General features: G+C 37.3%; 1 protein-coding gene and 1 long non-coding RNA gene across 3 annotated transcripts in view, besides 6 other annotated features; one reads left to right on the forward strand and one right to left on the reverse strand.

Moving 5' to 3' along the window:
- Nucleotides 306–355: an enhancer, noted in NCBI's record as "active region_21946". NCBI's record gives its function as "activates an Ori minimal core promoter by ATAC-STARR-seq in GM12878 lymphoblastoid cells {active_cell/tissue: GM12878}" and the evidence as "EXISTENCE:reporter gene assay evidence [ECO:0000049][PMID:35858748]".
- Nucleotides 376–465: an enhancer, noted in NCBI's record as "active region_21947". NCBI's record gives its function as "activates an Ori minimal core promoter by ATAC-STARR-seq in GM12878 lymphoblastoid cells {active_cell/tissue: GM12878}" and the evidence as "EXISTENCE:reporter gene assay evidence [ECO:0000049][PMID:35858748]".
- Nucleotides 496–565: an enhancer, noted in NCBI's record as "active region_21948". NCBI's record gives its function as "activates an Ori minimal core promoter by ATAC-STARR-seq in GM12878 lymphoblastoid cells {active_cell/tissue: GM12878}" and the evidence as "EXISTENCE:reporter gene assay evidence [ECO:0000049][PMID:35858748]".
- Nucleotides 596–965: an enhancer, noted in NCBI's record as "active region_21949". NCBI's record gives its function as "activates an Ori minimal core promoter by ATAC-STARR-seq in GM12878 lymphoblastoid cells {active_cell/tissue: GM12878}" and the evidence as "EXISTENCE:reporter gene assay evidence [ECO:0000049][PMID:35858748]".
- Nucleotides 645–2,010, reverse strand: SMARCA5-AS1 (SMARCA5 antisense RNA 1). Its single transcript, NR_104027.1, has 2 exons — nt 1,618–2,010; nt 645–1,398 (listed from the first exon to the last, which is right to left on the reverse strand). It is a non-coding gene; the product is annotated as an SMARCA5 antisense RNA 1 (long non-coding RNA).
- Nucleotides 875–12,281, forward strand: part of SMARCA5 (SNF2 related chromatin remodeling ATPase 5) — a 43,785-nt gene continuing 32,378 nt past the window's right edge. For both annotated transcript variants that reach the window (NM_003601.4, XM_047416323.1), the window contains exons 1-4: nt 875–1,274; nt 4,528–4,602; nt 8,602–8,768; nt 11,540–11,640. In NM_003601.4, the coding sequence (NP_003592.3) occupies nt 1,098–1,274; nt 4,528–4,602; nt 8,602–8,768; nt 11,540–11,640 (520 nt within the window). In that variant the 5' untranslated portion in view covers nt 875–1,097. The remainder of the gene's footprint in view (nt 1,275–4,527; nt 4,603–8,601; nt 8,769–11,539; nt 11,641–12,281) is intronic.
- Nucleotides 1,256–1,315: an enhancer, noted in NCBI's record as "active region_21950". NCBI's record gives its function as "activates an Ori minimal core promoter by ATAC-STARR-seq in GM12878 lymphoblastoid cells {active_cell/tissue: GM12878}" and the evidence as "EXISTENCE:reporter gene assay evidence [ECO:0000049][PMID:35858748]".
- Nucleotides 1,376–1,495: an enhancer, noted in NCBI's record as "active region_21951". NCBI's record gives its function as "activates an Ori minimal core promoter by ATAC-STARR-seq in GM12878 lymphoblastoid cells {active_cell/tissue: GM12878}" and the evidence as "EXISTENCE:reporter gene assay evidence [ECO:0000049][PMID:35858748]".

A 12,281-nucleotide genomic window follows, 5' to 3' on the forward strand; every position in this document is an offset into this window, starting at 1 on the left:
CATCGCACCACCTATCTTCCCCATATATTGATTATTCGTGTTTCTCACTTCCATGGTAGTGTGCACGTTATTTGCTTAACTTTGGCATATAAATTCAGAAGAAATATCATTTAACTCTGTGCCTAAGGAGGGTATTTAGAAATAACCGACGCAGCTAACATGAGAAGGCAAAAAAAAAAAAAAAGAAAAAAGAAAAAAATCACACTAACGGACTTTTTTTTTTTTTCTAACAACAAAAAACCGTGAGACTTCACTTGGGGTAACCATAACGTCGTCAAGGCTGTGGCGTCACGCCTCTAAGCGGATACGGCAGAAGTTTTGGGGCCAGACACAAGACTTCCAAGTTTGAATGGGCAGCGCAAAACCCAGACAAGTTTTCCGGTAGTGCCGCCAACCCCTGTCAGGCACAGAAGACACAGCGAGAACCGTGAGCCGTTACGAAAGCCTAAAACACTGAGCTCGCGTCCTGCCAAGCAGCAGGCGCACAAACCTACACCTCCGAGCGCTCCCTGGAGGTCCCGCCCACTCTTCTCTCCCGAGCCGGCTAGAGATCTGGAAGAGGGCGGGCCAAGGGTGAGGAGGGCAGTATGCGCATGCGCGCTCAGGACCCAGTCAGTGAGCCAATAAGGAATCTCGCGAGTGTTGAAAGTCGGTGGCGTAGGTCGTCGTCCTGGATGCTGGCGAGATAGATGTTATCTTCCAGAGGAAGAGGAGGAGGCGGCGAAGCGTTTTCCCAGCCTCAGTCTCTCTTTCGTTTTCCTTTTCCCTTCCCCCAACCCTCCGCCCTTCTCTAAATCAGCCGGCCTTCCTTGACCTCAGTGACCCGTCTGGCCCCGCCCACCCTCGTCGACGTGATTCCCGCCGTGAGGTAAGCGCCGGTGGAACCTAGAGCCCCGCGGAAGAGCAGAACGTTTGGGAGTGTGCAGCTCCTGGGCCCGGCTCAGGCCCGTCGCGGAGGCGCGGCGCAGGGGAGCGCTCGGGTGGGAGTCTCGCTCCTCCACCAGTTTATTGCGACGTAGCATCCAGGCCTAGGCCTCCCCGTCCATCCCCGCCGGACTCGGGCCTCTGGCAGCAGCGGGTGACGCAGACGGAACATCATGTCGTCCGCGGCCGAGCCTCCGCCACCCCCGCCTCCCGAGAGCGCGCCTTCCAAGCCCGCAGCCTCGATCGCCAGCGGCGGGAGCAACAGCAGCAACAAAGGCGGCCCCGAAGGCGTCGCGGCGCAGGCGGTTGCGTCTGCGGCCAGCGCTGGTCCCGCAGACGCCGAGATGGAGGTGAGGGCGACTTGCGGCATGGGGAGCGGGTGCAGCGGGGAGGAGGAGCTGGCTCCCTCGCCGGATCGTGGCGATCGGACGCAGAGCCGGGTTTCTCTCTCTGCACCAGACTCAGCTTCACACCCTGTGGATACGAAATGATGCTCTCACTCTTGCTCCCTTGTTCTTACCCTATTCGAGCTAAGCAAAATGGATTTCTGGCTCCTCACATTTAAATTATTTGTCTCTTTCGTGAATCCTGACAAATATTTGAACGCTCTCAGTGAACAGATGTTCTTGGTTACCGTGGCCCGGGGGACCCATCGTTTTTTTCCCACTAGACTCCCATAATTCCCTCTCCTACCTCTGAATGTGGTTTTTAGTTTCCACCAAACTTCGGGGAAGGGCGAGGAGATGACCCCTTAGGAGCGGGATGCACGGGCGGGGTGAAGGAGGCATTTAAAAGCAGCGCGTCCGAGGACTTGGGCCTCCTTTTCTTCTTCCCGGTCCTTGCAGGGGCGGTATCTGTTGTGGGCAGAAACAATGGCGAGAGCTGGATGGCCGAGTGCGCAGTGGGGATAAGCGGGGCGCAGCTGCTTCTGTGAAGGGAGAGAAGGCCCCTCCCAGGCACTATTCCACTGGAAGGGAAGCAACCAAGGCAGCAGCAGCTGTCTCGGATCCCCCGTCTAATTTAGGGGGGATGAATAAGTGTAGGAATGAATTAGAGAACCAGGCGCAGTTGGTTGGCTCTCAGTCCGGCACTTTTCTCTTTTTGGCCTCTGGCCTTAAGAAAAAAAAAAATTAGTACCACTCGCTGCCGAGACTTATGGGTTTGGGTTGGGCAGGGGATGCTGACAGTACTGAGGGGGCTGGAAAGATGGGGGAAGCTGCCAGGCGGGTAAATTGGATATGCTTCCAGGCTTTGCATCTGGGAACAAAGTAATTGCTCCTTCCAATTTTTATTTTCTTGGCCTTCGACCTGTTTTGAGATATTTTGTGAGTCGGAGCCCAAAGATTTCTGGGATTTTCCTATCCTTAGACAGAATGAAAGTAATACTGCTCCGAAGATGAGTCTTGATGCAGAATCATTATACAGTAAGAAAATGGTAGCGTAATTTACCATTGAGGCTTTTGGCACAGTAGTTATATTTGGGTAGCTGGGGTTAAGTAACATTAATGTTAGTAATCATTTAAAGAACTTTTAGTGGTGAGGGTAGGTTTAGTGACATAGGAACTCCTGATAGTTCCTGTAGTTTTGAGTGATTAAGATAAGATTACTTCCAAATTAAAATATATTCAGTGTTGCTTTTTTTTCCTTAAGGAAATGGTTCTTTTGGGTTACTAGGGCTCTTTAACTTGGATTTCTGTTCCAAGGCTTAAGGGGTTTGACACAAAGCAATTATGTGTAAATGTGCAGTTCTCTACAAAAATTGTTTATAGTTTTTCCTCAGCTTCTCAAAGGGGTCTGCCATCCAAACTTTGGAAAAATGAATGTTTCACCAGAGGTCTTATTAATATCTGAATGCAGAGTAATTTTAAGCCTAAAGCAAGTCAACATTTTTGACTTGAAGTTGCTATTTTAAATGAAAATTGATTTTAAGTTCAAACGTGAGTATAGATGTTATCACTACCGTATTAAATTAGTGATATTTTCATTTGCCAGATGGGGAAATTGAGTTCTACTAGGTAGAACCTGTAATAAAACTCGGATCTGCCTTTAAAAGTGAGCCGTTTCCCACCCATCTTGCTCTGCCATGTTCTTACCAAAAAAAACATATTTGGCGGTTCAATTTATTGAATAACATTGTTATTTTTACCTTCCTAGTATAGAAATATTAGGAATTTTATTTTTTTATCCATCTTATCACTGACACATTTTTTTTTTGGTTGACATTATAGTGTGATTTTTTTTTTTGTCTTTTAAAATGTCAGTTTCCTGTTTAACAAAATTCAGAATTACTGCAATTCATGATATAAACTAAGTTTGAGCACACATGCTTAATATATATGTCACAACTTAATCTGTTTTGCACTTGGAAAATGAATATTTTATAAATGACTTTTTCTTGTTTGGAAGTATGATCTAAGGTGTTTTTCTAAACAGAGTAAACCCAGCATTCATGAATTTTTTTTTTTTTTTTTTTTTGGTGACAAAGCTGATTTTCCCAGAAATAGCCTTCCTATGTATTCAGTTACTTTTTTTCTTTTTGCTTGATACTAATAGGTCAATGGAGCACTTGTTTTTTAGTTATCCTTTTGGCAGTGTGGAACTCTTCTGTGTTCATCCTCATCTCTATTGACTAGATTGATTAAATAGTCACCTGTATACCAATAATGTGATGTCAAGATGCCTGAAGCACATTTTATTTTTGTAGGTTGCATTTCATGGCATTTTGGAATTTTGTAAACTGGACTGGGTAGGTGGCTTTGTCACTTACATATGTAGACCAGAGATTTATGATGAACATAGGGTCACACAAGTGCCAAGGGTCTTAACAATGAAGTTAGACTTGACTTAAGGTCATTTTACCTTCTATTCCAGTACCGTACCAGATCTCCTCCCCACAACTTTTTGGTCACAGATAGTTTTATTATAGCATATATTGCCTAGCATAGATTTGTGCATCATTAATGAAGATTACTTCTGCCAATTTTTTTTAATGGATGAATAGAACTTTGCAGTGTAGAAGTTGTTTTTTGTTGCTTGTGACATATGAATGTCAGGATAAATATATTTGCAAGAATAACATTTATTACTAGTTTAGGAATCAGACTGTAGTTAGAGTATTCAATTTAGGCTGCGAGATAAAGTTTTTGTAATATTCCAGAAGGTGGAAATCAGGGTGACTAATTCTGATTTCTTTGTAGACATTTGTGTGGTAGCACAGTAGATACTGTAGTTTTATGACAAAAGGGGAACTTTTCCCCACATTTTATACTATTTAGTTTGGTTTCATGGTTATTACAGAAAAAGAGAAACAGATTGGCTTGTATTAAATGTAGTTTTCTTTTAGGATGATGAAGATAATCTTGTGTTCTAATCTTGGCAACAACCATACAGTTTATATATATGGGTTAAATACGTTGTTATCCCCATAGTATCTAATATCATTTTATCAGTTTTTCTGTTAGCTTAGATGACAGCTGTTTAAGTTTCTAGGAAGTTTGGGGTGAGAATGTATTATTTAAGATGTGTTTTGGTCAGAAATTGGTCTATAATGGTATGTTTACTATTTTCGAAGACCAATTCTATTTAATTATTTCTTTCTACCAGGAAATATTTGATGATGCGTCACCTGGAAAGCAAAAGGAAATCCAAGAACCAGATCCTACCTATGAAGAAAAAATGGTATGTTCTAGGCTTGTGAATAGAGTCTATAAGGAAAACTTTTTATCAGGTGATTAAATGTACTAAACATCTATCTTAGTCCATTTTGTGTTACAACAATACCACAGACTGGGTAATTTATAAAGAAACGAAATTTATTTCTTAGAGTTCTGGAGGCTGGCAAGTCCAAGGTCAAGGCCAGCATTTGTTGAGGGCCTTCTTGCAGTGTCATTATATGGAGGAAGGCCAAGAGAAGAGAGCAAGACAGGACTGAACTTTCTTTTATAACAAGCTCACTGGTGATAACCTCCTCCTGAGATACTGACAGTAATCTTTTCCTAATCACCTCTTATTAGGCCCTACCTCCCAACACTGTTGCGTTGGGGATTAAATTACAACATGGGAGATTTGGAGGGGGACACAGTCAAACCATAGCAATGTCTGTTTAATTTTTGTAATTATGGCACAGATATCCATTTGAAATATGTGTAATATGGAATACTATAACTTCCATATCTTATGTGTCTATGTAAGCCAAATGGAAGTATTATATGAATTAACATAATATGATGTCATTATCTAGTTATGTTAACAACACCTTTAAAAATTTAACCTTGGAAGCGAGGTGAAGACCAGAATAGTTACTCAGTGTATGTTTATTCTGCACTTGACTAGCATTGTACTCTGCTAGTTACCAAAAAAAGAAATATGCTCCTTGTTCACAGCATTTTTATATTATAGATGGGGTCTTTACAAAAAGAACATGACATTATATTGGAGTCATTCAAGTCCCAGTTCACGTTCCGTATCTTCTAAGAAACTTCTCAAAACTATGACTTGACTTAAACAGTACCTACACAGAGCTTTAAATTTAAATTCAGTTTTAGTAATAGTAGTAGTGGCTAACAGTGAATGTTTACTCCGTATCTGACCCTGTTAGGAATGCTTTATATGGATTAAACTCATTTAATTGTATTGAAATCTCAAAAAGTTAAAATAACAATGTATTAAATAAGAATACCACTACACAGTGTGCTCCTGTAGGGTAAAAACAGTGTCTTAATCTTTCTTTCTGTCTTCAGTACCCAGAACAGTATCTGGCACATAGCAGATCTTACATATTTTTTAAAACATACTTTTTTCTTGTCCTTTGACTTTCTCTTCCAAATCAGTAAATATTTTTGAATGTCTTAAATAGCTTCAAAATCTTAAAATTATGGTATGTATTTTATGTGCATGTATAATATGCACAATACATATAACACTATGTAAATTATAAATGATATATCTTTAGGTTTGATTTGTTATATATTTTACATATGTATATATGTAACTGTCACCTTTTTTGCTATCAAACTTAGAGAAAAAATAGATTTGCCGCTCTGTTTTTTTAAAGTGAATACTACTTTGAATACAGTCTACATATTTTAATACTGCTTTAACCCTTTATAGTTTAGATTCTGACACACTCTGCTGGTGAATCTAATTGCCAATTCTGAGGCTTAGTTTTAGTTTCTTGATTTGTGCTTGACATTGTTGACCATTCCTCAAAAATCTTGACTTGCCTTGAAAGACATTTTTTCCCGTGATAATATCCTCTTTGCTTTTTTATTCCTTTGTCCTTCCTTATTAAAATTTGAACATTTCTTCCTAGACAGTTTGATTCTTACTGGTTTTTACCTGGTATCTTTAAACTGAATATTTTCAAATACTTAACCTCTAGCCCAGAAGCCTGTAATCCGTATTTTCATTTACTTTAAAATCCTATTCATACCTCTTACTTGAGAATATCCAAAACTGAATTCATAATTTTTACTTAGCATACCTTAGTGTTACCTCAATGAATGAAAGTTCCTCTTCAGGTATACTCAAGATGTTCATGACAGTACTGCATACTTGTAAACAATAAGTTTACTTACGAGTTTATTCTCTTTTCCATATCACCCTAGTTTAGTATTTTTCTATTATTGCATGGATTATTTTGTGCTTCTGTATTTGCCTCCTTTCTTATGATCTGGCCCCTTCCAAGTTTCTTAACATTTTTGCAAAGTGTTATTTATAACACAAATTTGACTGTGAAATGGAGGTTTTTCAGTGGCTCTCTACAATGCTTTTCATTTTCTTAGTGGCCTTTATTGGAACTCTTTTCGTTTCTTCCAGGTTTTTCAGTCTCCCAGCATTATTTCCTTTTTTGACATCATGATCTTCACCTGCACAGTTTTCTTCTAAGCAAGAAGCTCCCTTGTCATCTGCTAGTTCTAACCATAGATAAGTTCACTATCCACTCCTCGTTCTTGAACCCAGAATGCTGAGTACTACTTCAGAAAACTAAATACTAGTGCTGATTGGTGCCAGTATAAGTTTATGGTTTTTATTTTCTTGGACCTTGAGTATTTATTGCCTATCAGTCTCATTTAGCCATTCTAAAATGTCCCCACTCTGATCAGTCTTTCTTCTCCATTTCTACCATGCCCTCATTTCCAATCTTCCTCCACAAAGAATTGCAGGCCTGTCTTTATTTTCTTTCTCTTTTCAAACATATGTATAGCCTCTATTATCCTACCTCATTTCTTCCTGTTTCAGAGAAAGAAGCTAGTCCAAAGCTATTCACTTTAATTTCCGTTTGATTTTATAATTGATTTCTTTCAGGTTCCTAATCATACTCTCTTGTTTCTGCTTTTTAGGTTCTGTTGGTTTTTCTCCCTCAAGACATTTCAGTTTTAACCTTTTCATTCTTTCAAGCAGTTTATCTTGATTCCAAACATAATTACAATAATTATTTTTTCAGTCCAAACATCTTGTAGATGCGTGCTCTTGGCTTTTGTTTCATTATCTATAAATTAAGAAATGTAATTATGTAAAATATGCATTCACATATGTATCTTGTTCAGCACTTTAAAAACAGTCTGTAATCTTGGAAAACATAAATAACAGAGGCTTGTCATCTGTAGGACATTACTGGGGTTCTAGCATGTTCACAGTCTTGTTACTGTGCAGATTCATTTGCTGCTATGACTGCCATTTGTGACCCAATGAAACACTATAACCATGTGCCTTCCTAATAGCAAATTGGGCTTCAGTTTTTACATTGGTGTGACCTTAAAAAATGATTATGTTCCTTTTAAAAATACGTAGTTGTTACAACATTATGGCATTTGGATACTTCTTGTGTTTGCTAGGTAAAATGTCTTTTTGTAATTTATTCCCAAACTGACATTTTAAACATTTATAGACAGAGATGTTGAGTAGTTGGTTTCCCTGTTTATTGAGCTTTTCTTGTCTTGCTTCTCCTTTGTTTCATCAAACTATTATTGTTTTTGTATAAAGGCTGCCTAATGGCTCCCAATTTCATTATTTTTATGAAAATTTGTCTTCGAGGCTCTTAAGGTTTTTTTTGCCCAAGTAAATTTTTTCCATTCTCTCGGTATTATAATAGGGAACATTCAAAGGGGCAGATGGCAGATACGAAAGGAAGGAATAGTATCAATCCCAATACCGTTTTAAAATTTGTCACAGCCTAACTAATGAATGAGCACTGCATTTTTTCCAGCTTCTGAGTAAATTCACTTGTATTGCACAGTGTTTAATATTTTAAAAATTGTTCCGATCAACTGTATTGAAGTATAATTGACATAAAATAATTTTAAGTTTGTAATTCAATGAGTTTTAGCAAATATTTCTTTAAATACCATCACAATCATGATGCAGAGTAGTTCCATCATCCCCAAAGTTTGCTCCTGCTCCTTTCTAATCAGTTCTTGCTCCCACCTCCTTGCCACTTCTGATCTGCTTTCTATCACTAGTTAGCATTTCATTTAAGTGGAATCATACAGCATGTAGTCTTTTGTGTTTGGCTTCTTTCACTTTGCATAGTGCTTTTGAAACTCATCCATGTTGCATTTATCTGTAGTTCTCTTTTTTTTTTTGCTGAGTTCATTGTATGGAGGCATGCTGAAACTTTGATTTCTGAAGTTTTAATTGATACTCTGATAAAATGTATCTTAAATTTTTTTTTTTCAGCAAACTGACCGGGCAAATAGATTCGAGTATTTATTAAAGCAGACAGAACTTTTTGCACATTTCATTCAACCTGCTGCTCAGAAGACTCCAACTTCACCTTTGAAGATGAAACCAGGGCGCCCACGAATAAAAAAAGATGAGAAGCAGAACTTACTATCCGTTGGCGAGTGAGTAATAGTTTAAACTTCATAGTTCAACCAAACTTATTTTCGATAGTCTTCAGTGGAAGCATAAAATCACTATGATAAATAACTTAAAATTATTTTAGTGCCATTATTTATTTGGCCCTGTTTGGCTTGGCATGATTTAGCCATAAATGTATAAGTATATAAAAATACGCATAATGGTTAGAGCACAGTGGCTCTTGCCTGTAATCGCAGCATTTTGGGACGCCAAGGTGGGAGGATTGCTTGAGTCCGGGAGTATGAGAGCAGCCTGGGCAACGTAGGGAGATCCCATCTCTACAAAAAAAAAAAAAAAAAAAAAAAAGAATAAAACTGCATAACGCCTTATTTTTTGTAGCATTATATAGTTTATGAATTGTAACAATCATGTTGAGTATGGAATTTAGATGTCACGTCATTCCTCAGAGAGGAAACAAATGCAGAGGTTAAGTGGCTTGTTTAACATCACATTGAAGAATGATCCAGACTTGAATTTGAATCTGACTTGGGTGTGCTCTAGGCTCCTCCATCACATACAGATGTTGACAGTATTTTATCTAAAGTGTGGTGTGTGGGATATTGTGATGACTTACATCACGGCAGCCTGTTTAAAATTTTTATTGCATACTTAGTTGTTTTTATATAAATTGAAGTGTCACGTTGTATGCCGTCCTTTGGTGGTGGTTGAAAATAATTCTTACATGTTGAATTTGGAAATTCTCTAGAATTTTCATTCTGGTTGGATAAATAAGATGTTTAATTAGTAATAGTAGATTTAGGGCAGTCTTGGCTCCCTGAAATGGCTTTGTGTAATTCCCAAAGTGAAAACTGTGATTAGTAATTAAAATACAAAAGATTGTTTAAAAGAAGAAGTATCAACAAGGTTAAATTCACTACACAGTTTGTTGAAAGAGGGAAGTATGATCTTCATCTTGAAGGGGTTATCGTTGTAAGCATAATACCTTTTATTTGGGGTATTCCACTCATTCATTATATCTTATTTCTCATCCATTGTGACCAAAGCACTATTTTAATACTTACGAAACTTTGAAGGGACAATTTTGCCCTTCAGCTGTATTTAAAATATTTCAGACTTCAGAAGTTTGCATTAGTGTCATGGCATGAAACTGGAAACTACTGTACTGAATATTGTTATGGGATAGTCAGTATGATGTCTCGAAAAGAAACACTTCTTTTATTCTTTTCTATTTTATTATTATCCTAATTTATCTTTTTTATAAGATAAAAAAGATTCTATTGGAAATAGTAATAATAAATTGTTAGGCTTAATGTATTAAATAGTGTTATTAGGGAAAAAAGTCCTAGTTAACAGATTTCTTTACTCCTCAAACCATCTTAAATGGGAAGCTAATTTACCTAAAGTAATGAGGGTCATAGTATTGTCTTTGGGTATCAGGAATACATTTTTTTAAATCTTTTTTTGTTTGTTTGTTTTTATTGAGACAGAGTCTTGCTCTGTGGCCCAGGCTGGAGTGCGTGCAGTGGTGTGATCTCGGTTCACTGCAAGTTGTGCCTCTGGGGTTCAAGCGATTCTTGGACCTCAGCTGGGATTACAGGCTCACGCCACCACGCCCAGCTCATTTTTGTATTTTTGGTAGAGATGGGGTTTCACCATGTTGGCCAGGCTAGTCTCGAACTTCTGACCTCAAGTGATCCACCCACCTCTGCCTCCTAAAGTGTTGGGATTACAGGCGTGAGCCACTGTGCCTGGCCAGGAATACGTTTTTTTTTTAAGTCATTCACGATTATATTCAATTTTTAACAATAAATGACATCTCAGCTTTTAAGTTTTACAACTGTAATAATCAAACATTTTGAGAGTAACTATAAAGGATATTTTATAAAAAGAATTTAAAATTATCTCCCAGTTTATGGAGAATAAATAGGGGATGGAAGTAGATCTTTGTACTCAATTTCATAGGCTCAGAATGCAGAGAAGTACAAGGAATAACAGACTAGGATGTACTGATTATGATTAGAAGCATATATAACAAACAAGAAGGCCCTTGAATTTCTGAGGAATGCTTCTATCTTGGAAGGCCGCTTATCCTTTTAGCAAGCATGTGGTTTTGGTAGAAATGAAGTTACAAATTAGATTCAGCGGTCTCAACAGAGGCATAACGTGCCTTTTTCTAAATAAGATGAAAATATTTGTTGAAAGTGTCAGAATTGGGGAGTAAGTATTAATAGTTTTACTGAACCAAGCCCTTTAGAGATTAATTGGCAGTATTAAAACTTTAGAAAATCAGTTTTTAAGGGGGTAGTATATCTGATTCTCTTAGGATGTAGAATTTAGATGTGTATTTAAAAATTTTTTTGATGAATCCGTGGTCACTGCTTAAATTTCTGAGTCCTTATGCTGCAGCTTTTGCTCGAAGTTACAATTTTAAACATGTGGTTTCTGGAACTTTTTTTTCCTTGGCAAAAAGATTTTTAAAAAGGTACACTTTAAAATTCAAATAATGAGATTTTCTGACTACATAGTTCTTGAAATTTGACTATCATATTTGAGTTTATTGGGTTCTGGTTAATGTATCGTACTGGTGTATTTTAATAACTAATGTATATTTTAAATAATTATTTAAAACATTGCAGATTTAAATGTACTCATATTTTCTACTGTCCACTGGTTGATGCCTGTTAAAAATTTAATTTTGTGGAATCTTGGTCAGCCACTTGACTATGATGTTTAAACAGTAGCTGATAATTAAAGCCAAAACTCAAATCAGGTTATTTTATTTTCATCTTAACAGTTACCGACACCGTAGAACAGAGCAAGAGGAGGATGAAGAGCTATTAACAGAAAGCTCCAAAGCAACCAATGTTTGCACTCGATTTGAAGACTCTCCATCGTGTATGTTAAACACACTTGATTTTTTTAAAAAATTGCCCTTTGAGATCTCCTTTGGTTAATGTTTTGGATTTGTGTTGGCTACTATTTGTGAAGCAAATTTTTAGTAGTCTTAGATGTTTATTGGTTATGAAATAAACTTCAGATTTTGATGGAGATGAGAGCATATTACAGGATAGTAGTGCTGTATTTCAAAGTTATATAAAATGTCATTGTGTTTGTTATTGCCCTGAAGTATATGTAAATCTAAGGATCGTTTTGCTTTATATTTGTCCCACATAAGAAAACTAATTTATTTTAAAAAAGGTACTTCATGAACACATTTGCTTACTTCTGATGTTTTTATATTAATTTAATTTTTTGTGAAATGTATTTGTTTATTGGTTAGCTTTTTATCCTCAAGTGTTTTTCAAAAGGAGATGGAGGGCTACACTGTGTACATATTAAAAAAGAAAAATCAGGTGACCGTTATGTATATTTGGTAATTATTCTGGGGAGCAAAATAAGTAGTATACCCTGAAAGAGAGTGCATTGGAATGTATAAGATATATTGGACAAGTAACTTAGGAATTTCCTATTTCTTTTTTTTTTTTTTTTACTAGAAAGAAAATAAAATCCCCAGATAACCTGTATCTGGTCTTTAT

This window comes from Homo sapiens, chromosome 4, assembly GCF_000001405.40.
Source record: "Homo sapiens chromosome 4, GRCh38.p14 Primary Assembly".
NCBI lineage: Eukaryota > Metazoa > Chordata > Mammalia > Primates > Hominidae > Homo > Homo sapiens.